This window comes from Homo sapiens, chromosome 1 (genome assembly GCF_000001405.40).
Source record: "Homo sapiens chromosome 1, GRCh38.p14 Primary Assembly".
Classification (NCBI taxonomy): domain Eukaryota; kingdom Metazoa; phylum Chordata; class Mammalia; order Primates; family Hominidae; genus Homo; species Homo sapiens.
In genome coordinates this window covers 1,905,472-1,926,619 of record NC_000001.11, presented here as the reverse complement: position 1 = coordinate 1,926,619, position 21,148 = coordinate 1,905,472, and the positions used below count along the sequence as shown (strand labels likewise).

The following is a 21,148-nucleotide window of genomic DNA, read 5'->3' as shown; positions in this document are numbered from 1 at the left end:
CCGGTGCCCAGGCACACCCACGCCTCCCCCAGCCCCACGGCCCACCCCTGGCAGAGACGCTCCCTGGGGCCTGGGGCTGGGGCCTGACGCTCCCTGCCCCATTTCAGGGCACCGCAGTATCAAGAAGATCTCCATCCAGAACGTCTCTCCCGAGGATCTGGCCGTGTCCTTGTCCACCCAGCTCAGGCGGCCTGCGGGGTGGGAGCGGGGACCGGGGAGGGCGTGGTAGAGCCTGCAGACACCTGTATCCCCTCCTTGACGTGGACCCTCAGCTGGACTTCTCCCTGCTGAACCCCAACGGCCCCTTTGTCCTGCTGAACCACTCCAGCCTGCTGCGTGCAGGTGGGACCCAGGTCCTGGTGCTTTCCTTCTCTCCCCACGAGAGCATCCTGGTGAGTCCCAGGCCCACCCTGGCCACACTGCGGCCCAAGGCTCCCCACACTGCAGAACAAAGGCACTGGCCGGGGCGGGCATCACCTGTGCTCAGGCCTGGGACTAAGCCTGGGTCTGCGAGCAGCCTGGCCCCCAGGCCCTCACACCAGCCGCCAAGTGAGCGGAGCTGACAGAGCCCCCCCAGAGCTGTCTCAACTCCAGCGTTGAGAACCCACTGCCCCTGAGGCAGAGCTCCCCTCGTGGCTCCAGCAGACATCGGTTCCTGGCTGAGCGATGTGGTCTCTTTAGGCTCAAGAAACACTGGACATCATCACCAAGAGAGGCACGCTCACCCTCACCCTCATGGGCACTGGCGTGGCGTCCATGATCACGTGCTCCATTGAAGGCAGCGTCCTCAACATGGGCTATGTGATTGCCGGAGAGTCTGTGTCCTCAGGCTTCAAGGTGAAGCACACGTGGGCCCTGGTGCTGGCTCCAGCCTCCCAGGAGGGGTTTCCACCAGGCAGGACTCAGGCCAGCTGTCAAAAGTGACCCGTGGGTCGGAGAGCCCGTGGGGACACAGGTGGCCCCCTCTACCCCTCCTCTACACAGCTGCCGCCTCTGCCGCCCTCTCCTGCAGGGAACCCGGGGCCTGTTTCTGGGGAGGCTGCAGATGTCCCCTAGTCCTCCCCACCTCCCTGTCCTCCTTGGCGCTCTTTGTCCCTCCTCCTCAGCCCCTGCACAGAGCTCCCCCACCCACCACCCACCCCCTGCCCTGCTGCTTGAACTCACTCCTTTGGAGCTCAGCTCAGCCACCGGGGGCAAGGGTTTGCAGCCCTCTGCAGTGAGCCGCACTGCCCTGCGTGCTCTCATGCCTCGCACTGCCCTGTGTGCTCTCATGCCTTCACACCAGCGTGTGCCCTCATGCCTTCACACCAGCGTGTGCCCTCATGCCTTTGCACCAGCGTGTGCCCTCGTGCCTTCGCGCTGCCCTGTGTGCCCTCATGCCTTCACACCAGCGTGTGCCCTCATGCCTTCACGCTGCCCCATGTGCCCTCATGCCTTCGCCCTGCCCTGCGTGCCCTCATGCCTTCGCCCTGCCCTGCGTGCCCTCATGCCTTCGCACCAGCGTGTGCCCTCATGCCTTCGCACCAGTGTGTGCCCTCATGCCTCCGCACCAGTGTGTGCCCTCATGCCTTTGGACCAGTGTGTGCCCTCATGCCTTCACACCAGCGTGTGCCCTCATGCCTTCGCACCAGCGTGTGCCCTCATGCCTTCGCACGAGTGTGGGTCCGGGAGGGACACCTGCTTCTCCGCCTGGCTCAGGGCGGGTCCTGGAGGCAGAGCCCGAGACGGGCGTTGCATGGAGAAAGGGTGCTCTAAGGAGAGGGGGTGAGGGCAGGGAGGACACAGGTGGGGACGTGGGTTCAGCTAAGCTGGGCCTGAGCGAGACTCAGGCGCCCTGGAGGACAGGTGACACCCCAGAGCTGTCCACGCACCCTAGGCAGGGAAGCCGAGCCCCGGCCTAGCAAAGGCTGATGAGAGGCTGGAAGAAGGGATGTTGGCACACAGCTCAATAAACCGCCACGTGTGCTGGCGTCATCAGGCCACCCGGGTCCCCACTTGGGTGTGGCCTCATAGCACCAGCCAAGTCCTGGGCACCGACGACAGGAAGGGGGCAGCCAGGCAGGGGCTGGCGGGCAGTGACCGCGGCCTGCTCTCTGCAGCTGCAGAACAACTCTCTGCTCCCCATCAAGTTCTCCATGCACCTGGACAGCCTCTCCAGCACCCGGGGCCGGGGCCAGCAGCAGCTGCCGCAGTTCCTCAGCTCGCCCTCCCAGAGGACGGAGGTGGTCGGTGAGCGGGGGGTGGGGGGTGGGTGGTGAGCTGCGGGGGTGGGCGGTGAGCTGGGGGAGTAGGCAGTGGCCTGGAGGGGGACAGTTGGTGAGATAGGGGGCTGGGCAATGAGATGGGCTGCGGGCGGTGAACTGGCAGGGGCGGGTGGTGAGCTGGAGGGGGGTGGTCGGTGAGCTGGCGGGCACGGGCGGTGAGCTGGGTGGGGGGCAGTTGGTGAGGTGGGGGGTGGGCGGTGAGCTGGGGGGGTGGGCAGTGAGCTGGAGGGGGCGGTTGGTGAGATGGGGGGGGTGGGCGCTTGGATCCATGGGAGGAGTGGGGGGCGCAAGGCCATTGGGGGGACCGGGCAGGACAGGGGCTCTGCAGGGGGGCGGGCAGGGTGTAGAGCTCTATGCAGCAAGGCTTGGAGGGCAGACAGTGATTGCAGGTGGAGAAGGCCAAACTGCACCCCACCCTACCCGCAGGGACGCAGAATCTCAACGGTCAGAGCGTGTTCAGCGTGGCCCCCGTCAAGGGCGTCATGGACCCCGGGAAGACACAAGACTTCACTGTCACCTTCAGCCCCGACCACGAAAGCCTCTACTTCTCCGACAAGCTCCAGGTGGTGCTCTTTGAAAAGGTGCGGCTCTGGCTCTGCAAGCTCAGCCCGGCCCGGCCCTGGCCCCACGCAGGGCCTTGCCTTTGGCTGCACTGCTCCACTTTGGAGGCCCTGAGGGTACCATGGCTGGGGGACTCAGCACCACACTGAGGGCCGTCAGTGGAAAGACCAGAGTCCAGGGCCCCACGGGGCCCCCAGGCCGTCCCTGCTTCCTTCCCTGAGCCAGCCCAGCTCTCACCAGCAGGACCCCTGCCGCCGAGCTTCGGGGACAAGGCCACTCCACTTCTTGTCCCCAGAAAATCTCCCACCAGATCCTGCTGAAGGGTGCCGCCTGTCAGCACATGATGTTCGTGGAGGGCGGCGACCCCCTGGACGTGCCCGTGGAGTCTCTGACAGCGATCCCTGTATTTGACCCCAGGCACAGAGAGGGTGAGCCCCTCCCCAGGGAGGGAACAGACACGGGGCCTCCCGGTGCCCCTGTCCCGTGGATGGGGGCCCCGAGACCCAGCGGAGCAGGGCAGGGATTCCCAGCCTTCTACCCCAGAGCCAAGCAGGACAGCCACTGCTAACCAGAGTTCAGGAGTCCAGCTGCAGCCTCACCCCATGCCTCAGCCTGACCCTGAACAGCTCCCCTGGCCACACCCCTCCAGCCAGCTCCCGGCCAGGCCCTCTCTCTCCAGAAGCTGAGGAGCTGAGGCCCATCCTGGTGACCCTGGACTACATCCAGTTTGACACAGACACGCCAGCCCCACCTGCCACCCGAGAGCTGCAGGTGGGCTGTATCCGGACCACCCAGCCATCTCCAAAGAAGGTGCCCACAGCACTGCCCCTGGGGACACCAGGCAGCCCCCTCGGCCTCCCCTGCCCTGGGCAGCCCTGACCCTCCTGGCCTTGCCCCTCACTGGGCTTGTCCTGACAGCCGGGCTTTTCTCGGACTTCCTGTGGCAGCTGTGGGGTGGGCAGCCTGGTCAGAGCTGGGAGGGTGAGTGGAGCTGGGCACCCTCACCCCTAGTCCCACTGCTTCTGGGAGCGGTGCCTGGTCGCCAGCCTACAGGAGCCCCATACCCCACAGACCGTTGAGTTCAGCATAGACAGCGTCGCATCCCTGCAGCACAAGGGTTTCTCTATTGAGCCCTCCAGGGGCTCCGTGGAGCGCGGCCAGACGAAGACCATCAGCATCTCCTGGGTGCCACCTGCGGACTTTGATGTAGGTGCCTTTGGGCTCCAGGCCAGGGAGCCCTGGGAACGCCAAAGGCTGGGTGGGCTGACACCCCTGCCCAGTCCCAGGGGAGGAGGTGGCCGTGGAGGACCCAAGGGAGTCAGGTGGGCAGGGCAGTGGGAAGACAGCAGATCTCCTCTGGGTGCCCACTGACTGAAGGCCTCTTCTCCCCTCCCCTCCTGTTCCAGCCAGACCACCCACTCATGGTGTCGGCCCTGCTGCAGCTAAGGGGGGATGTGAAGGAGACCTACAAGGTCATCTTTGTAGCCCAGGTGTTGACTGGCCCCTAAGCCTCTGCACAGAGCACCCTCGGGCCCTCCTGTCCACCCTCAAAGCCCTCCCCAGGCTGAGGGCCAGGTCATACTACCCTAGAGCCTGGGACCTGGCCATCCTCTGCCAGATTCCAATAGGCCGCCCTCCACATGGCGCCACGGCCACTTCCTGCTGCCCTGGACCCCGCAAGCCCAGGGACATCCAAGAGCACCCCTCCTGAGACCCCAGACTCAGAAGCAGCGAGAAGGCCAGGCCAGCCCTCAGCCATCCTAGCCAGACCCCCTCAGAGCCCCCAGCCCCCAGGAGAGCCCTCCACAGCCTGTCAATAAATTTTTTGTAGGCCAACACATGCAGCCTGCAGTGTGGGTGACAGCAGGTTATTCCCTGGGGTGAGCACAGAATGGGAGGTGGGGACAGAGCCCTGGGGAAGCAGCCCCTCCCCTCACAGCCATGACACCCGCTTTGCCTGGCAAGGGCCTCCTAGAGTGGGGCCATCCTGCAGGACACCTGTGGGGAGGCCACCCTGACCCAAATTCAAGGAGAGCCCCCAAGCCTGGCACCCTGAGCAGCAGCAGGCAGCCCAGAGGGCCGGGGTACAGCTAGAGCTGAGGCTGACCCAGAACCGAGGGGCCTGGGTGGTGGGGAGGGCAGGGCTGCAAAGCCCAGGGCAGGCCCCGGGAACCTCCAGACTTTTCCCAAGTTCCAGGACCCCGGATGACCCCAAGCAAAGGTGAGCAGACGGTGGGGACCCCCCAGCCTACTCATGCCCTCCCCTCCACCCAGCAGGGGCCAGGTGAGGCCCAGCTCCTGCACTGAAGTCTCTATTTGTCTGAGATAAGTCTGGGCTCGGCTTTCTGGGCTCTGACCCACCCTTCAACAGAGAAGACCCCTCGCAGCCCGTGAGATGCTCCTGAAGCTCAGAGTGGTGCCTGCACCCCAACCCTGCCCTCTGGAGTCTGGCTTGTTGGACGCTGTCCCCACAGAGCCCACCCAGCCTGGCCCTCCTGTCAGTGCAGCACACCCACTGTGCCACCCCAACCAGCAGCCACCAGCAGACTGTACGCAGCCTTCCCTGGCCGGGTCGGGGGAGCAGATGGTGCTTCTGGGAGCTTTCCTGGGCACAGGCCTCAGGGACGCCGGTCTTGAGCTGCCTGCCCTCACCCCCAGCCCCCCAGGGCCCACAGTGCCTAGGAACTTGCCATTGCCCCAAACTTCAAGCCAGTGACATTGACCCCGCAGTGGCGTTTTGCAGGATTTCTGTCCAATGGGTCCCTTGCTGCCCTTCCTGCGGCCGACCCACCATGGCTCAAGCTTGCGCCACACCAGATGGGAGGGGAAGGCAGGTTCCGCCAGGTCCAGGCCAGGCCCCGGCCGCAGGAGGAGGTGCTACTGGATGGCAATGTTTCCTGAATAGGCCCCTCTCTTCTAAACCCTGACCCGACTCTCCTGCTGGCAGGCCTCTGGTACTGAGTGGCGAGGCCCGCCCAGCTCCTGCGTGGGGGCCGTGCCCACACCTTCCGGAACTCGGGGCTGTGGCCTCAGGCTGTGCTGTGCACATGCACTCCCATTCCCACTCCCGTGCTGGGCCTCCACGACCAGTGCAGTCAATGTGGCAGGAAGAAGGGCCAGGGGCTGGGGGAGCTGGGCAGGCAGGAAGGGCCCTTGAGGACCGTGGCACAGGCCTTGGGAGGTGAAAGGCAACTTCAGGCAGAGCCCAACAGTGGAAGGAGTGATGCAGTGAAGGGGCAGGTATGGGCAGAAGAGCCACGCAGAGGAGGCCCTGCCCTCCAGGGTCACTGCCCTTGTGGTAGGGGTGGGGGACACTGAGCAGCGCCCACATGTGGAACAGTTCTGAGCAAGGGGTGCATGCCCCTCCTGCAGTAAGATGGACCCTGCCCCTTGCTGTGCTGACCACCTCCCTTAGCCTGACCACCAGAGAGACGGTGTGCTGTTGGTCCCACGGGGAGCAGAGGGCACCAAGAGCCTAACAGGGCCCCTGGCCTGGTGGCAGAGGGATAAGGGTCTGGGGTCCCCCTGGAAGAAATGGCCCCAGGCCTGCCCCTGCACAGGGAGCAGCAGACATTGCAGGCTGAGGGAAGGGCACTGGGCTCCCTGTGGCCCTCGGGAATGGAGGTCACATTCCCCAGGTGGGGCATGGCCCCCAAGGCCAAGTGCTTTGGGAAAGTGGTCTGCACCCAGCGCCTCAACAGCCCAGAGCCAGGGCCAGGCTCCAGCCCCCTGGGCCAGCCCCCAGACAGCGCCTGCAGCGCAGGTCCACAATCAAGTGTCCAAACACCAAGTTCGGGATGCCCAGCATCTTGGTGGCGTTACCCTACAGTCCACCTGGAGCCCGCCTGCGAGACTGGACCCGAGGGACCACACCCAAGGCAGCCACGACTTTCCAGGCCAGCTCCCGAGGGTCCCCGGGCCACGCCCAGACCAGCAGCAGAGCAGGCCACGCTCGGCCGAGGTTAAGGCGCCGTGCCCGGGCTGAGGACGAGACCCACCGTCGCCTCACGAGTCTGGGCCAGGTGGAGCTGCGGGGTAGGGCTTGTGGCGGACAAGCCCTCTGAACACGTTGGGCGTGGCCCAGTGGGAGGGGATTGCGCTGAGCGGGGTATGGTGGGCGAGGCTTACGTTGGGCATGGGGCCAGTGGGCGGGGTTTGCATTGAGTGGAGGCCCAGCGAATGGGGGCGTCTCGTGGGCGAGGGCTCCTGTGGGCGGGGCCTGCGGCGAACAAGGCTTGCACTGGGCGGGGCCCAGTGGGCGGGGTTTATGCTGCGTGAGGCGTCCTGTGGGCGAGGCCTGCGACGAACGCGGTTTGCTCTGGGCGGTGCCCGGAGGGCGGGGTTTACCCTGCGTGGGGCGTCCAGTAGGCGTGTGCGCCTGTGGGCGGGGCCTGCGGCCAGCGGGGCCCGGTGGGCGGGGTTTACTCTGAGCGGGCGTTCTGTGGGCGTGTCATGTGGTGGGTGTGTCCTGTGGTGGGCGGGGCCCCATAAAGCCGCGCCGCCGGGCTTTGCTCCAACCTCCTCAGAGCATGGCCCGGGGGCCGCTGGCCGCCCGCGGACTGCGGCTGCTGCTGCCGCTCCTGCCGCTCCTGCCGCTCCTGCCGCTGCCGCAGGTGGGTCGGGCGGCGTTCTCTCTCGGTTCGGCCACCGCGGGGCGGGTCCCTGCTCGGACCACGCCCCTCCCGGGCTCACCCTTGTCCCCACAGGTGGCGCTGGGCTTCGCGGACGGCAGCTGCGACCCCTCGGACCAGTAAGTCGGGGGGGAGGGAGCCGGGGCCTGGCCCCGCCCTATGGGGAGGCACGGGTGGCGAGGTCGGCCGTCCCATGCCCCGCCTGCTCCAGGTGCCGCCGTCCCCACAGGTGCCCGCCCCAGGCCCGCTGGAGCAGCCTGTGGCACGTGGGGTAAGTGGAGGCCGCGGCGGAGCCGTGCGTCCGACGGTTCTGGGGCGGGGGTCACCGGGGCCAGGCCCGCCAGGCCCTTACCTCACCAGGCCGCCTCCGCTGTCGCCCAGTCCCGGCCGCTGGCGGGAACTGACCTGGAGCAAGCAGGACCTTCCCTCCCACCTCTCCCGCCTGGCCTCCGCGGGAGTCCCCTACGATCCCGCTCAGCAGTGGGGCACTCGCTGAGGACAGCGAGTCCTGGGAGTGAGCCCAAGGCCACCCCTGGCCAGCCCAGGAGAGATAGCCAGGGCAGGCCCAGCAGCCCGAGGCCAGGCTCTGGCCACGGCGGTCTCCGACATGGAGAGACATTGTCTGCTTTTTATCCTGTTAACCTGTCTTCGGTGGTTGTGCCACGACATTCCCCAGGGTGCAGGTGCCCGGTGGCCGAGGGTCAGTCCAGTGGTAGAGCCTTGCTCTCCTAGGCTCATCCTGCTGGCGGTCCTCCTGCTTCTGCTGTGTGGTGTCACAGCTGGTTGTGTCCGGTTCTGCTGCCTCCGGAAGCAGGCACAGGCCCAGCCACATCTGCCACCAGCACGGCAGCCCTGCGACGTGGCAGTCATCCCTATGGACAGTGACAGCCCTGTACACAGCACTGTGACCTGTGAGTGCCTAGGGGCCCGCCAGTTGAGGGTGGAGATGGCGGGGGTAAATGCCAAGCCCGCCTCCACGAACCCACTCTGGTTCCCTGCAGCCTACAGCTCCGTGCAGTACCCACTGGGCATGCGGTTGCCCCTGCCCTTTGGGGAGCTGGACCTGGACTCCATGGCTCCTCCTGCCTACAGCCTGTACACCCCGGAGCCTCCACCCTCCTACGATGAAGCTGTCAAGATGGCCAAGCCCAGAGAGGAAGGACCAGCACTCTCCCAGAAACCCAGCCCTCTCCTTGGGGCCTCGGGCCTAGAGACCACTCCAGTGCCCCAGGAGTCGGGCCCCAATACTCAACTACCACCTTGTAGCCCTGGTGCCCCTTGAAGGAGGTAGGAGAACGGACCAGAGCTTGGAGAACTAATGCTTGGAGCCAAGGGCCCCAGCCCACCCCACCGTCCCACACATTGCTGTGGCCCCAACCTCGGTGCCATGTTACACCGGCCCCTGGCGTCACCCACTAGGCAGGCTGCTGCTTTCAGCCTCAGCCCCTGGCCCAGCCCCAGCAGGCCCTCAGCCTGGAAGAGGCCCCTTGGGCCTAAGCCTCGGGTGGGAGCTCAGGGCCACCTGTGACGTCTGCATCTTCTTGGAGAGAGAATAAAGTTTGTATTTAAGTGGTCTCTGCCTATGTGGGAAGGACTCTGGGACTCCAGGGCTCTGGGAGGAACCCTTGGGCAGCCAACCCCCAGTGCAAGCAGGAAGGGCGAGCGTGTGGTCCCCGGCCTGTACCCAGTCCAGGTTTCAGGCTGGCATTCCTAGCCCTGAGCTGGGCAATGGGTGGTGTCAGGTGTCGTGGCAGAAATGACTGGGGCTGTTTCTGTGACTGGGCCAGGAAAACTCTTTTCCTTCTCCAGCCCCACGCCTTTGCCTGTTGCCCCCCAACCCAGGCTGGGACAGTGAGGCACACACAGGTTGGGCTGGAACATTTATTTTACACGGAGCCGGGGGAGTGGGGGCCAGGGGGCAGGGGCAGCAGCCTTCCCGGGCAGGCCTCCCCCGGCTGCGGCAGCTGCACCTACTGGATCAGCTTGAAGGACTCCCCCGTCATCATGGCCACAAACTCTGGGAACAGAGGGGCAGGTCAGCAGCTTGCCCCGGCCCAGCCAACGGCTCCCAGGGCTCCAGGCCACTCACCCTCATAGTCGATGGTCCTGTCCCCATCCTTGTCGGCCTCCTTCATCATCTGCTCCGCCTCCACCTCGTTGAGGGGCTCCCCTGCGTTCATTAGCACGTACCTACGGGGCCTGGCGCTGAGCCACTCCATCGGCCCTGCCCGTGCCCGCCCACCACCCGCCCCCAACCCGGGCCCTACTTGAGTGTGTTCCAGTCAATGTAGCCCTTGCCCTCTTTGTCAAAGACACGGAATGCCGCCCTCAGCTCGCTCTCCTGGTTCTGGGCCTTCTCATGGTAAACTCCCATTAGTGCCAGGAAACCATCGCAGTTGAAGAACCCTTTGTCTGCAAGGGGCACAGCTGGGGCTCAAGGGATGGGGCACAGCACTCCCCATGGGCTTTGCCTCTTCCCCCCGTAGGCACTGACACCTGACCCAGGGCCCCCCCGAGGCTGCCCACCCCACTCCAGCCATGAGCTCACTGTCTCTGTCCACATCCTTGGCCATTGAGGCCAGCTCACTCTTGGTGGGGTTGATACCCAGCAGGCTCATGAGCCACTCCAGCTCCCCCGTCTTCACCTCCCCGTTGCCCTCTTCGTCGAACATCTCAAAGACTCCCTTGTACTCCTTGATCTGCTCAGCCGACAGGCGCTCTGTCTGCAGGGGACACCCGCACCGGCCTGACCAGGAGCCCCTTCTGCCCCTGTGTCCAGGGAAGGGTCAGAGGTACCCCCTGCACCCATTCCTCCATTGGCAGCCTTTCAAGGTGAGTGGTAAGAGAGGAGGCCCCCAGCGGAGAGCAGGCTTCCAGGACAAGGGGTCACACGCCAGGGGTTTGCAGGGCCAGCAGGGCTCTGCCAGGCAGCTAACAGGGGCAAGGGCCAGACAGGCAGGAGCCAGCGTGCGAGGGAACAGCAGCAGCTGCAGGGCCAGGCGGGCCAGGCAGCGGCCCTGGAGCCTGGCAATGGACACCAGGTGAGGCAGGTGAAGGAAGCCGAGAGCAGGGTGGGGAGGAGCCCAGCCCTGGCCCGGGAAAGGCTTCCAGCCCAGGATTGGGATACAGCCCAGGAAGCAGAACCCTGGGCTCCAGCCTGTGTGGCATTCCGGAGGGAGAGTCCAGCACCGGGCCACACCTGCCTGCCACCACTGCTGCTGCCCATCTGGGAGCCAGCTTTCAGAAAGGGCTGCTCCACCCTGGCCCCGGAACAAGGGCTGTGTTGGTGGCAGCAGGGCTTGGCCCCCTCTTCTACCTCAGCCCCTTCCTGCCCAGGCTCCGTGGCAGGTCATTGCACCTCCAGGTTCCAGCTCAACCTACCCAGCCAGCCCACCAGAGACTCCATCGGGCACAGAGAGCAGCCTTACCATGTCGGTGGTTGTCTGACAGGATTCTGCAGGGTGGTGACACCAGGGCTGCTGTGGGCAGAGTGCTGGGGCAGTGGTGGCAGCTGAGTTTTAGCTGGGCCTGGCTGCCTGGGGTCCCCGGGGTCCAGATTCCAAGAGCCTTTTATGGGTGGGAAATCCTGCCGGCCCTATTTTGGGACAGGCTCTCGGCCTTATCCACAGGGCCCCTTCCCGGCCCGCTTTGGCCTGGGCTTCCCCTGACCCTGAAGATGGGCACCGAAGGCTAAGTGCGGGGGCCAGGAAAGGGCTGAGACATGGCGGGACCCTCACACACGCTGTTCCCCGTGCTGTTCCCTCTTCACTGGACCAAGCTCCAAGTCTACCTTCCCAGAGGTGCGGCCCTCCAGCAGGTCTTCATGGGACCCTGGTCCCATGCTGTCATCACTTACCAGTGAGATTTCTTGTTGAAGACCCATCCTGGCCAGCTGGTGCTCAGTGGCTCAGAGCCTGGCCACCCTCCCATCCTGGTGGACTCAACATTGGCCCCGTGCCAGCATGTCACAAACTCTCAGGACAGGTCGAATGAACAAATGCATGAGGCACCGCTTGACCATCTTGTACAGGAGGGGCTGAGGGTCCACCATTCAGGGAGGAGACAGCAGGACATGGGCTGGGGGTGAAGGGGGAAAGGGAGCAAAACAGGGCCTGGGGGCTGGGCTGCCCGCTGGAAGCCAGGCACAGTTGGGGGCTATTTTGGGGTTTCTCAGGGAAACCTGATCTCCCTTCCACTCAGAACAGCAAAGCTGGCTCCCGAGGGGGCCTGGTGCCCAGGCTGGTCCGTATCAACATGCCACCGTGGAGCACACGCCTGCACACGTGTGTTCCCTCCTCAGACCCGCACTGAGCCCTCCCTGTCTGGGTCTAATTACCCACCAGACTCCCAAAGCCAGGGTCCAGCTCCTCCCTGCCCCACCCAGGCAAGAGTGTGAGGATTGCAGTGGCAGGTCAGGGCCCTCAGGGTCACACTCACACCTGCCCCCCGACTGGCCCCTTGATGGCATGAAGAGTCTGAGCAGGTGGGGCACTCAGTGTCCCCCGCCAGCCCAACCCTCTGCCTGCCAGCAAACCTGCAGCTACAGGATGGCTCCCGCTGAAACCCAGGCCAGCTGCTGAGACTGCAAGATTGACGCTGACGAGGGCAGGCCAATGGCCCAGGGCACCTCCAGCCAAACGGGAGCCGGGGCTGGAGGGAAGCGGCCCTGGGTCTGGTGGGGCCAAGGGAGGCCCTGACCTTCATCCTGGCTGCTCCCTGGCCTCAGCTTTCCCCTGGGCTGGGGCAGGGAACAATTCACGCACTGAGCACCTTCCCCCAGGGGCATAGAATGGAGGGAGCCGCAGCACCCAGGCCAGGGCCCATCCTGGGTTCTGGCTCAGGGTCTCCAGGTACAGGCCAGCTGGGTACAGAGACACAGAGAACTGCACTGGCCTCGTGGCCCTGGACAAGTCCCCACCCCAACAACTCTCACAGCCAGTGGACAGCAGGCTCTGCCTCCTCCGTTCCCAGGCTTCCAGCGTCTGACATTCCTGGGCCACAGCCCTGAAGGTTCCAGACATCCTGATGGGCTTACGAGTGAAACTCAAAGCTGTGACCCCTGGAGCCCAACTTAAAGCAGAGGGCACACCCCCCGCCCCGCCCGTAGGAAGGGGCAACATGGCCACAACCACCATCAACCTCTCTCCTCTCCATCTAGGCTTCTACCCATATCCAAGACCCAGTACAAGCAGCAGAACAGGTCCTCGCCCTCTAACCCTCTCTCCTCATGCTGACCAGCCTCTGTGTGGCCTTCGGACATACCCCGTATCTCTAGGACCTGAGACTCATCCAATCTTTATTTTCCTTCTTGTGTCTCTTCTGATCACCGAAGGGCTATTCTCCATAAGAAAACAGAAAAAGAGGCTGGGCACGGTGGCTCACGCCTGTAATCCCAGCACTTTGGGAGGCTGAGGCGGGCAGATCACGAGGTCAGGAGATCGAGACCATCCTGGCTAACACAGTGAAACCCCGACTGTACTAAAAAAAATACAAAAAAATTAGCCAGGCGTGGTGGTAGACACCTGTAGTCCCAGCTTCTCCGGAGGCTGAGGCAGGAGAATGGCGTGAACCCAGGAGGCAGACCTTGCAGTGAGGCGAGATCGCGCCACTGCACTCCAGCCTGGGCAACAGAGCGAGACTCCATCTCAAAAAAAAAAAAGAAAAGAAAAGAAAACAGAAAAAGAGAAAAACCCTGTAACAATTAGAATGCTGCCTCAGCCACGTTCAGGTGCAAGTGCAGTTGTGTTCATGGCCGTACCCAGTTATGCAGCAGATCTCTAGAACCTTTCACCTTGCAAAACGGACCCCCGCCCCCATTAAACAGCATCTGCCCTCTTCCACCACCCCCCGCCCCCCAGCCTATGGCAATCACTATTCTACTTTCTGTTTTTAAGAATTCGACTCCGGGGGCCGGGTGTGGTGGCTCACGCCTGTAATCCCAGCACTTTGGGAGGCCGAGGTGGGTGGATCACAAGGTCAGGAGTTCAAGACCAGCCTGGCCAAGATGGTTACACCCTGTTTCTACTAAAAAAAATAAAAAAATAAAAAAATTAGCCGGGCGTGGTGGCAGGTGCCTGTAATCCCAGCTACTCAGGAGGCTGAGGCAGAGAATTGCTTGAACCTGGGAGGTGGAGGATGCAGTGAGCCGAGATTGCGCCACTGCACCCCAGCCCGGGTGACAGAGTGAGACTCCATCTCCAAAAAAAAAAAAAAGAATTCGACTTTTTTTTTTTTTTTTTTTTTGAGGCAGAGTCCCGCTCTATCTCCAGGCTGGAGTGCAGTGGCGCGATCTCAGCTCACTGCAACCTCTGCCTCCCAGGTCAAGCAATTCTCTTGCCTCAGCCTCCCGAGTAGCTGGGACTACAGGCACCCACCACCAAGTCCGGCTAATTTTTTATACTTTTACTAGAGACGGGGTTTCACCGTGTTAGCCAGGATCGTCTCGATCTCCTTACCTTGTGATCCGCCCACCTGGGCCTCACAAAGTGCTGAGATTACAGGCATGAGCCACCGCACTCGGCCTGGAATAGGCGTCTTTTTTAAGGCTGAGTAAAATGTTATTCTCGGGATGGACCACACTCGGTTTATCCACCATCTGCTGATGAACACTTAGGTGCTCCCACCTCTTGGCTGTTGGAACTGCTGCTGCAATGAATATGGGCGGGCATGAAGGTGTTTCATAGATGTGATTAGTATTTAAATCAGTAGGCCGGGCATGGTGGCTCATGCCTGTAATCCCAGCACTTTGGGGGACCGAGGCAGGGAGATCACAAGGTCAGGAGATCGAGACCATCCTGGCTAACATGGTGAAATGCCGTCTCTACTAAAAATAAAAATAAAAAAATTAGCTGGGCATGGTGGTGCGCGCCTGTAGTCCCAGCTACTTGGGAGACTGAGGCAGGAGAATGGCGTGAACCCCAAGGAGGCAGAGCTTGCAGTGAGCCGAGATCGTGCCACTGCACTCCAGCCTGAGAGACAGAGCGAGACTCCACCTCAAAAAAAAAAAGAAAAAGTATTTAAATCAGTAGACTTTGGGTAAAGCACATGACCCTCCATAATGTAGGGGGGGGCCGCATCCAGTTAGTTGAGGACCTTAAGAGAAAAGACTGAGGTCCCCCAAGGAAGAAGGAATTCTGCCTCCAGACGGCTGCAACATCAGCTCTTCCCTGGAGGTTGCCTACAGTGCAATCACACGGGCCAATTCCTCAAAATCTCTCTCGTCTGTGTATATGACAGACGTATATATACAGACATACACACATATACACATCCCCCTGCTTCTACCACAGAGGGTCACCGCAGACATCACCACTGCCACTGAGGGTCTCCAGTGAGAAGACACTGAGAGACCCCGCCCCACTCCAGGGCAGCAGCCTCAGCTGCAAACCCACCCCACCTGAGCCACATGACACAAGGTGGTCATTGTGTCCACAGGCAGGACTCTGATGGTCCCTGCAGGTGGTCTAGGACCCCTTCTGTCTGGTTCTGCTTCCCCCTTCCTGTCACAGGGGCTGACCCCTAACAGGGAGCTCCTATCCCAAACTCCATCTCAGGGTCAGCTTCTGGGGAGCCCCAGCTGTGACATGATGGATGTTGGCGGTGGACCCCCCGCTGCCAAGCTGCAACCAGGCACCAGTGCGGGACGAAGACACAAGCCCCTGCACAGTCACCTGTTACACTCACTGGTGGTGTGTTGGAAGGGCAGAGGGATGGACCAGGTAACTGCCACCAATCGAGGCTACAAATGGTAGAAGGAGAGAAAGGGGCACTTGAAAGCCAGGGGTGAGCCCAAGTGTGAGCGTCGGGGGCCCTCTGTGGTTCAGGCAGCATCTCTGCTCTCCACTCTGCAGTGGGAGGGCAGCGATTCGGAGGACCAAGCCCAGGACTTAAATCAGAGCCGGCAGGGCCCTGGTGGGGACATCCAGGTGGGTGTCCCCTGGAGTTTGATCCCCAGGTAGCTCTGAAGCTTCCGCGTCTGCAGGTTTGCTCACCACTCCATAGGAAGAGCTGACACTCCCACCCCCAATGCTGGAAGGACCCAAACCAGAGGCAACACTGGTTCCCCCGAGCCCCACCTGCCCTGGTAGCATGAGGTTGGCTCTGAGGGTGGAGCTGCAGCCGGAACCTCGCTGCGGTCGAGTGGACCCGGTGCTGCTGCGGCATCTACGGGGTCTGGACCCACAGGGCTCCCTTGGGCCTGGAGCACGGGCTCAGTAGGAAAAGGACTTCACGGCTCCCGGCTTCTCCTGCCGTTCCCTTCCTTGTGCAGCTTCTGCCTGAGGCCTCCTCAGCAGAGCCCAGGGCAAGCAACAGTGATGGGGTGAACACCGGAGCCATGGCCCCTTGCACACAGTGTCATCTGCTCAGCCCTGGGCTGGCCCCTTCCCACCCTCATCACCTCCAGCTGCCCCACGGTGGCTTCCTGGAATTCCCCCAAAAAAACTGTCCCTTTGAGTCCTCGTCTCAGTATCTGCTTACGGGAGCCCGGCCTGGACAAGGGTGAAAAAACAAAGTGAAGCCCGAACTCCAGACCCGCAGACCCCACAAGGACGAGGGGATGTGAGCCACAGGGCCCTGCACTCCCAGCACCGCACAGGAGATAGCTAGAGACAATGCCCTGGGCCTAAAACGCAACGTGAAACCTCTAAGGTGGCCACTAAAATGACTGAAACTGCTTGTATAACCTCCACACCTGTGGAGGAAAAAATAATGACGAAAATGTAATAAATCTAACAGAACACAGGAGGGGAGAAAGAAGCATAAATAGAAAGCAGAAAGTCACATTATAAAAGTACATTCAGGGCCAGGCGTGGTGGCTCTCACATATAATCCCAGCACTGTGGGAGGCTGACGTGGGAAGATGGCTTGAGCCAGGAGTCTGAGACCAGCCTGGGCAACATAGTGAAACCCTGTCCCTACAAAAATACAAAAAAAAAAATCAGCCGGGAGTGGTCAGTGGTCCCAGCTGCTCAAGAGCCTGAGGTGAGAGGATCGCTTGAGCCAGGGAGGTTGAGGCTGCAGTGAACTGGGATTGTGCCACTGGACTCCGACCTGGGTGACAGAGCCAGACCCTGTCTCAAAAACAAACAACAATAAAACAAACAAAAACAAACAAACAAAACAGAGGAAAGAGCTCAAATAGTTGAAAGTGGTTGTTTCTGAGAAAGGGCAGGCCGGCGGAGGGGCTGCAGGTTACCAGCCCTAAAAACCATGGATTATTTTGGGAAATGCAGGCTTGTCTTGGAACAAAGCCTTCCGGGACCAGCGCGCAGAGCTGCCAGCAGCCCCGGACCAGCAGCGAGAGCGGCCCCAGGGCTTCTCCCGCCATCCGCAGTCCTCAGCTGGGTTCCATAAAGCCGGGCTGTGCCTCAGCTTCCCTCTGCGAAGTGGGGGAGGAGGAGCGAAGCCCAGCGCGCCCTGAGGTGGGGCCTAGCGCTGCACTAGAGGCTTCTCGCCCTTTTTTTTTTTTTTTCGAGACAGAGTCTTGCCCTGTCGCCCAGGCTGGAGTGCAGTGGCGCGATCTCAGCTCACGGCAACCTCCGCCTCCCGAGTTCAAGCGATTCTCCTGCCTCAGCCTCCCGAGTAGCTGGGATTACAGGCGCCCGCCACCACGCCCGGCTAATTTTTGTACTTTCGGTAGAGACGGGGTTTCGCCATGTTGGCCAGGCTGGTCTCCAACTCCTGACCTCAGGTGATCCGCCCGCCTCGGCCTCCCAAAGTGCTGGGATTACAGGCGTGAGCCACCGCGCGCGGCCGTCTCTCGCTTCTTGCTTGACGTTCACGTGGCACAGCCTGTGGGAGCCGGTGCTCGCCACCGCCGTGCGTCCTAGCGGCGGCGGGGAAAGGCGGGGGAGCCCGGATCACCCGGCCCCGCCCCGTCACCCGGCCACGCCCCGTCATCCGGCCACGCCCCGTCACTTCCCCCCCCCCCCCCACGGCCCGCCTTGACGCCCGCCCCACCCTGTCTCGGCCCCGCCCCACCTGGAAGCCCCGCCCCGCGTCGGAAGCTCCGCGCTTTCCCACCAGACGGCGCTCGCAGGCCGCGCGGACTCGGGGCGGTCCCGGGGCCTGGGCGTCTGGCGTCACCCCGCTTGGAGTGGGAGCTGGGCCGGCCGGGGTCGCCGTCCGAGGCCGGTCGTGGGGATTTCGAGCACTGCGAACACGGCGCCGTCCGCGCCGCCCTCCGTCCTCGGTCACACACGGCCCTGTGAGTTTCCCTTCCGGACTCCCACCGTCGCCGGGAACGAACGGAGGCGCCGGCTGCGGCCCCGCAGGGTGCCCCGACCGCGGCTCCCGAGAGGCCCCTCGCCAGCAGCCGCCCGCGCCGCGGAGGGCTCGGCCCGACTCCCTGCTCCACCTCGGGGCGCAGTGGCAGCCAGGTTCCGGGGCTCCTCCGTCCGCGTCCTCTTCAGCCTCGTTCGAATGTGACAGCAGCTGGGTCATGTTGTCCAAACGTACCAGGAGCCCCAGATCCTCCCTGCAGCGCGTGCCCCAGCGCGCCCGGTGGCCCAGGAGCCCCTGCACCCCCGCAGCCGTCCTGTCCCGCCTCCTTCCAGCTCCCAAAAGGGACCGCAGATGGGGACTGCCGGAGTCCGGGCCTGGGGCAACACCCAGCCTGAGACGGGCAGGCCCTGGGCTCGGGCGGGCATGGATCTGGCCTCAGCAGGGCCCCAGGAGTCAGGTTGACTCAGCCCCTCACTCCTGCCACCCTCTGCAGTGATGGGGGGCTTCCTCCCCATGGTCACTCCCAGAGGTCCCAGCTCGGTGCCCAATCAAGGCCTGACCCCGTGGTCCCCAGGGGCTGCTGGAGAGGCCGCAGGGCAGGAGAGACAGACCCTTAGAAGTATGATGGGGGCCGGGCCCTAGGTAGCTCACACATGTAATCCCAACATTTTGGGAGGCAGAGGCAGGCGGATCACTTGAGGTCAGGAGTTTAAGACCAGCCTGGCCAACATGGCGAACTCCCCACCCACAACTCTACAAAAAAATACAAAAATTAGCCGGGCGTGGTGGCACATGCCTGTAATCCCAGTAACTTGGGAAACTGAGGAAGGAGAATTGCTTGTGATTGAGAGGCGAGGTTGCAGTGAGCCCATGTCGCGCTCGCCACTGCACTCTAGCCTGAGCAACATAGGGAGACCATCTCAAAAAAAAGGCCGGGCGCGGTGGCTCACGCCTGTAATCCCAGCACTTTGGGAGGCCAAGGTGGGCGGATCATGAGGTCAGGACATCGAGACCATCCTGTGAATGGTGAAACCCCGTCTCTACTAAAAATACAAAAAAATTAGCCGGGCATAGTGGCGGGTGCCTGCAGTCCCAGCTACTCGGGAGGCTGAGGCGGGAGAATGGCGTGAACCCGGGAGGCGGAGCTTGGAGTGAGCCGAGATCGCGCCACTGCACTCCAGCCTGGGCGACAGGGCAAGACTCCGTCTCAAAAAACAAAAAAAAGTCTGGTGGACAGGCTGGGCCTACCCCCAGGGGACCCCAGGGCAAGCCTGGGCAGAGCTCCAGGAGGCGTGCAGCAGCGCCCAGCCAGTCTCAGATGTGCGTCAGCCACAGGCTCCAGGGGCCACGTGCCTGGCCACACCTGCTGGTTTCCAAAACACCCAGCACCTGCAGGCCCAGCCTCCCCAGGAGGGGCAGCACCCCTGCTTGAGGACTCCTGGTTCCACCCAAATCCCTGCTGCTTGGGGTCCTCTTCCACCCCTGGGCAGCCCCCATGCCCTCAGGCCTCCCAGACCACCACCTTGGCCTGTGCCCCCTCCAGGACCTCACTGGTCCCCATGCCGTACCCCACCCCTTATTGCCTCCTCCAAGCAAACCTTGCATCAGCTCCCAGGAGACACACGCTGGAGCATGCTGGAGCCTCAGGACAGCATTCTAGACAAACAGCCTCAGGCCCCAGGGGCAGTCCCAGGAGAAGGCCGTGGCTTTGGGGTGAGTCCTGCCTAGGAGTCAAGGGGCTGAGACCCTGGGGGTTCTGCATGGAGCCCTGGGCCTGGATGGCCCTGCTGAAGGGCCACAGCTGCCCCCTCCTGCCCCAGGGCATGTGCTGTGGTGCCTGCCTCCACTTCAGAAGATGTCGGGGCTGCACTTGGGTCCCAGTCATGAGTCCCAGGGACTCCACTGCCCTGATGGGCTGGGCTGACATTGTACATTCTGGACTCCCTGAGGCCAAGGCCTGTTATCTCCAAGCCTTGAAGATGGGAACTAGTGGAGCCCAGGCCTGGGGGCAACACCCAGTCTGAGAGGGGCAGGCCTGCCTCTCACGCCTACCCCCAGAGAGCTTCAGCCACTCCCAAGGGCTGGCCAAGCTGGCCTGGGTGGACACTGCCCATCTTCCCCACGCCCAGGCCAGCACTCCCAGGAGTCCCTCCTGCAGGGATATTGGCAGCTCCAGGACAGTCCTCAGCTACACATGTCCCCACCATGTGCCCTGCCAGCCTGTGGCTCTGCAGGCCCCTGAGACACCCTCCCCATGCCTGCTTCTCCACCCAAACATTTAGAAGCATCTCATGCTAAAAAGGTCCAAAAAGCAGCCCATGCTCTCCCACCTCCGCTGTAACGGCTCTGCTGCCCCGTTGCTTACAACACCCAGGTGTCAGCCTCGACTCCCCCACTGCCCTCGACCCTGTGCCACCAGCAAATCTGTCACTCAGGAATACTCAGCCCTGCCCAACCTTCACAGCCCATCTGCACTCCTCTCTGGTCACCCTGGCCCTACGGGACGTTCTCCTCTCAGCCGCCAGAGGGGGTCATGTCCCTGCTCAGAGCCCCGCTGCTTCCCATCACGCTGTCGCCTGCCCTTGGTGAGCTGACCCCACTGGTCAGCGTGTTAGGCTGGAAGGACTAAGACACCACACTGTGGCCTGTGCTCAGAATTTATCTTTTTTCAGAAAACAGGTGATGAATGCTAATGGCCTTTTTGGCAAGAATGGAAAAGCTGATCCTCAAATTCATGTGGAATTGCAAGGGCCCTGAATAATCAGAACAATCTTGAAAACAAAGAACAAGGCCAGGCACGGTGGATCACTCTTGTCATCCCACCACAGTGAGAGGTTGAAGTGGGAGGATCTCTTGAGCCCAGGAGTTCGAGACCAGCCTGGGCACCATAGGGATACCCTCTGTCTACAAACAAAACATTAAAAAAAAATTAGCTGGGCATGGCCGGGCGCAGTGGCTCATGCCTGTAATCCCAGCACTTTGGGAGGCCGAGGCGGGCAGATCACGACGTCAGGAGATCGAGACCATCCTGGCTAACACTGTGAAACCCTGTCTCTACTAAAAAATACAAAAAAAATTAGGCAGGCATGGTGGCAGACGCCTGTAGTCCCAGCTACTCGGGAGGCTGAGGCAGGAGAATAGCGTGAACCTGGGAGGCGGAGTTTGCAGTGAGCCGAGATCGTGCCATTGCACTCCAGCCTGGGTAACAGAGTGAGACTCTGTCTCAAAAAAAAAAAAAAAAATAGCCAGGCGTGGTGGCGGGCGCCTGTAGTCCCAGCTACTGGGGAGGCTGAGGCAGGAGGATGGCGTGAACCTGGGAGTTGGAGCATGCAGTGAGCTGAGATCATGCCACTGCACTCCAGCCTGGGTGACAGAGCGAGACTCTGTCTCAAAAAAAAAAAAAAAATTAGCCGGGCATGGTGGCACCTGCCTGTGATCCCAGCTACTTGGGAGTTTACTTGGGCCTGG

At 62.4% G+C, this 21,148-nt stretch overlaps 3 protein-coding genes and 1 long non-coding RNA gene across 9 annotated transcripts in view, besides 13 other annotated features; 3 read left to right on the top strand and 1 right to left on the bottom strand.

Moving 5' to 3' along the window:
* The window catches only part of CFAP74 (cilia and flagella associated protein 74), an 81,830-nt gene extending 77,167 nt beyond the window's left edge, over nucleotides 1-4,663 (top strand). The window contains exons 31-39 of the mRNA NM_001304360.2: nucleotides 108-163; nucleotides 273-392; nucleotides 682-837; nucleotides 2,100-2,229; nucleotides 2,691-2,845; nucleotides 3,121-3,253; nucleotides 3,475-3,635; nucleotides 3,897-4,031; nucleotides 4,232-4,663. Of these exons, the coding sequence (NP_001291289.1) occupies nucleotides 108-163; nucleotides 273-392; nucleotides 682-837; nucleotides 2,100-2,229; nucleotides 2,691-2,845; nucleotides 3,121-3,253; nucleotides 3,475-3,635; nucleotides 3,897-4,031; nucleotides 4,232-4,333 (1,148 nt within the window). The 3' untranslated portion in view covers nucleotides 4,334-4,663. The remainder of the gene's footprint in view (nucleotides 1-107; nucleotides 164-272; nucleotides 393-681; nucleotides 838-2,099; nucleotides 2,230-2,690; nucleotides 2,846-3,120; nucleotides 3,254-3,474; nucleotides 3,636-3,896; nucleotides 4,032-4,231) is intronic.
* Nucleotides 2,778-3,278: an enhancer, noted in NCBI's record as "H3K4me1 hESC enhancer chr1:1854781-1855281 (GRCh37/hg19 assembly coordinates)". NCBI's record gives its function as "activates a minimal SCP1, AML or CMV promoter by ChIP-STARR-seq in naive H9 embryonic stem cells {active_cell/tissue: H9 hESC(naive)}" and the evidence as "EXISTENCE:reporter gene assay evidence [ECO:0000049][PMID:30033119]".
* Nucleotides 4,179-4,363: a silencer, noted in NCBI's record as "fragment chr1:1853696-1853880 (GRCh37/hg19 assembly coordinates)". NCBI's record gives its function as "represses an EF-1alpha promoter that drives an FKBP-Casp9 reporter gene in an ReSE screen in K562 erythroleukemia cells {active_cell/tissue: K562}" and the evidence as "EXISTENCE:reporter gene assay evidence [ECO:0000049][PMID:32094911]".
* Nucleotides 5,977-6,569: an enhancer, noted in NCBI's record as "H3K27ac-H3K4me1 hESC enhancer chr1:1851490-1852082 (GRCh37/hg19 assembly coordinates)". NCBI's record gives its function as "activates a minimal SCP1, AML or CMV promoter by ChIP-STARR-seq in naive H9 embryonic stem cells {active_cell/tissue: H9 hESC(naive)}" and the evidence as "EXISTENCE:reporter gene assay evidence [ECO:0000049][PMID:30033119]".
* Nucleotides 6,570-7,163: an enhancer, noted in NCBI's record as "H3K27ac-H3K4me1 hESC enhancer chr1:1850896-1851489 (GRCh37/hg19 assembly coordinates)". NCBI's record gives its function as "activates a minimal SCP1, AML or CMV promoter by ChIP-STARR-seq in naive H9 embryonic stem cells {active_cell/tissue: H9 hESC(naive)}" and the evidence as "EXISTENCE:reporter gene assay evidence [ECO:0000049][PMID:30033119]".
* Nucleotides 7,105-7,744: a silencer, noted in NCBI's record as "silent region_100". NCBI's record gives its function as "represses an Ori minimal core promoter by ATAC-STARR-seq in GM12878 lymphoblastoid cells {active_cell/tissue: GM12878}" and the evidence as "EXISTENCE:reporter gene assay evidence [ECO:0000049][PMID:35858748]".
* Nucleotides 7,105-8,024: a biological region, named in NCBI's record as "H3K27ac-H3K4me1 hESC enhancer GRCh37_chr1:1850035-1850836".
* Nucleotides 7,223-8,024: an enhancer, noted in NCBI's record as "H3K27ac-H3K4me1 hESC enhancer chr1:1850035-1850836 (GRCh37/hg19 assembly coordinates)". NCBI's record gives its function as "activates a minimal SCP1, AML or CMV promoter by ChIP-STARR-seq in naive H9 embryonic stem cells {active_cell/tissue: H9 hESC(naive)}" and the evidence as "EXISTENCE:reporter gene assay evidence [ECO:0000049][PMID:30033119]".
* TMEM52 (transmembrane protein 52) lies at nucleotides 7,341-9,029 on the top strand. Of its 4 annotated transcripts, NM_178545.4 has the most exons (5): nucleotides 7,341-7,438; nucleotides 7,532-7,575; nucleotides 7,686-7,727; nucleotides 8,189-8,367; nucleotides 8,458-9,029. In NM_178545.4, exons 1-5 carry the CDS (start codon nucleotides 7,355-7,357, stop codon nucleotides 8,736-8,738), a joined length of 630 nt encoding a protein of 209 aa, NP_848640.1. In that variant the 5' UTR covers nucleotides 7,341-7,354; the 3' UTR covers nucleotides 8,739-9,029. The 4 variants fall into 4 exon arrangements, with proteins under 4 accessions (NP_848640.1, XP_047275196.1, XP_047275192.1 ...); XM_047419240.1 differs by lacking the exon at nucleotides 7,686-7,727; XM_047419236.1 differs by having other exon boundaries at nucleotides 7,341-7,575.
* A 294-nt stretch (nucleotides 9,030-9,323) lies between these two features.
* Nucleotides 9,324-11,360, bottom strand: CALML6 (calmodulin like 6). 3 transcript variants are annotated; one of them, XM_005244729.4, is made up of 6 exons: nucleotides 11,247-11,360; nucleotides 10,885-10,935; nucleotides 10,005-10,179; nucleotides 9,724-9,868; nucleotides 9,546-9,646; nucleotides 9,324-9,473 (listed from the first exon to the last, which is right to left on the bottom strand). In XM_005244729.4, the coding sequence occupies exons 1-6, from the start codon at nucleotides 11,337-11,339 to the stop codon at nucleotides 9,427-9,429; spliced, it is 612 nt and encodes a 203-aa protein (XP_005244786.2). In that variant the 5' UTR covers nucleotides 11,340-11,360; the 3' UTR covers nucleotides 9,324-9,426. The 3 variants fall into 3 exon arrangements, with proteins under 3 accessions (XP_005244786.2, NP_619650.2, NP_001317242.1); NM_138705.4 differs by having other exon boundaries at nucleotides 11,313-11,360; NM_001330313.2 differs by lacking the exon at nucleotides 10,885-10,935 and having other exon boundaries at nucleotides 11,313-11,360.
* Nucleotides 11,853-12,539: an enhancer, noted in NCBI's record as "H3K4me1 hESC enhancer chr1:1845520-1846206 (GRCh37/hg19 assembly coordinates)". NCBI's record gives its function as "activates a minimal SCP1, AML or CMV promoter by ChIP-STARR-seq in naive H9 embryonic stem cells {active_cell/tissue: H9 hESC(naive)}" and the evidence as "EXISTENCE:reporter gene assay evidence [ECO:0000049][PMID:30033119]".
* Nucleotides 16,195-17,164: an enhancer, noted in NCBI's record as "H3K27ac-H3K4me1 hESC enhancer chr1:1840895-1841864 (GRCh37/hg19 assembly coordinates)". NCBI's record gives its function as "activates a minimal SCP1, AML or CMV promoter by ChIP-STARR-seq in primed H9 embryonic stem cells {active_cell/tissue: H9 hESC(primed)}" and the evidence as "EXISTENCE:reporter gene assay evidence [ECO:0000049][PMID:30033119]".
* Nucleotides 16,195-17,177: a biological region, named in NCBI's record as "H3K27ac-H3K4me1 hESC enhancer GRCh37_chr1:1840895-1841864".
* Nucleotides 17,128-17,177: a silencer, noted in NCBI's record as "silent region_99". NCBI's record gives its function as "represses an Ori minimal core promoter by ATAC-STARR-seq in GM12878 lymphoblastoid cells {active_cell/tissue: GM12878}" and the evidence as "EXISTENCE:reporter gene assay evidence [ECO:0000049][PMID:35858748]".
* Nucleotides 17,198-18,017: a silencer, noted in NCBI's record as "silent region_98". NCBI's record gives its function as "represses an Ori minimal core promoter by ATAC-STARR-seq in GM12878 lymphoblastoid cells {active_cell/tissue: GM12878}" and the evidence as "EXISTENCE:reporter gene assay evidence [ECO:0000049][PMID:35858748]".
* Nucleotides 17,494-20,618, top strand: LOC124903822 (uncharacterized). The gene is made up of 2 exons (XR_007065353.1): nucleotides 17,494-19,393; nucleotides 20,353-20,618. It is a non-coding gene; the product is annotated as an uncharacterized LOC124903822 (long non-coding RNA).
* Nucleotides 18,875-19,024: an enhancer, noted in NCBI's record as "active region_45". NCBI's record gives its function as "activates an Ori minimal core promoter by ATAC-STARR-seq in GM12878 lymphoblastoid cells {active_cell/tissue: GM12878}" and the evidence as "EXISTENCE:reporter gene assay evidence [ECO:0000049][PMID:35858748]".
* Nucleotides 20,619-21,148: the final 530 nt, after the last annotated feature.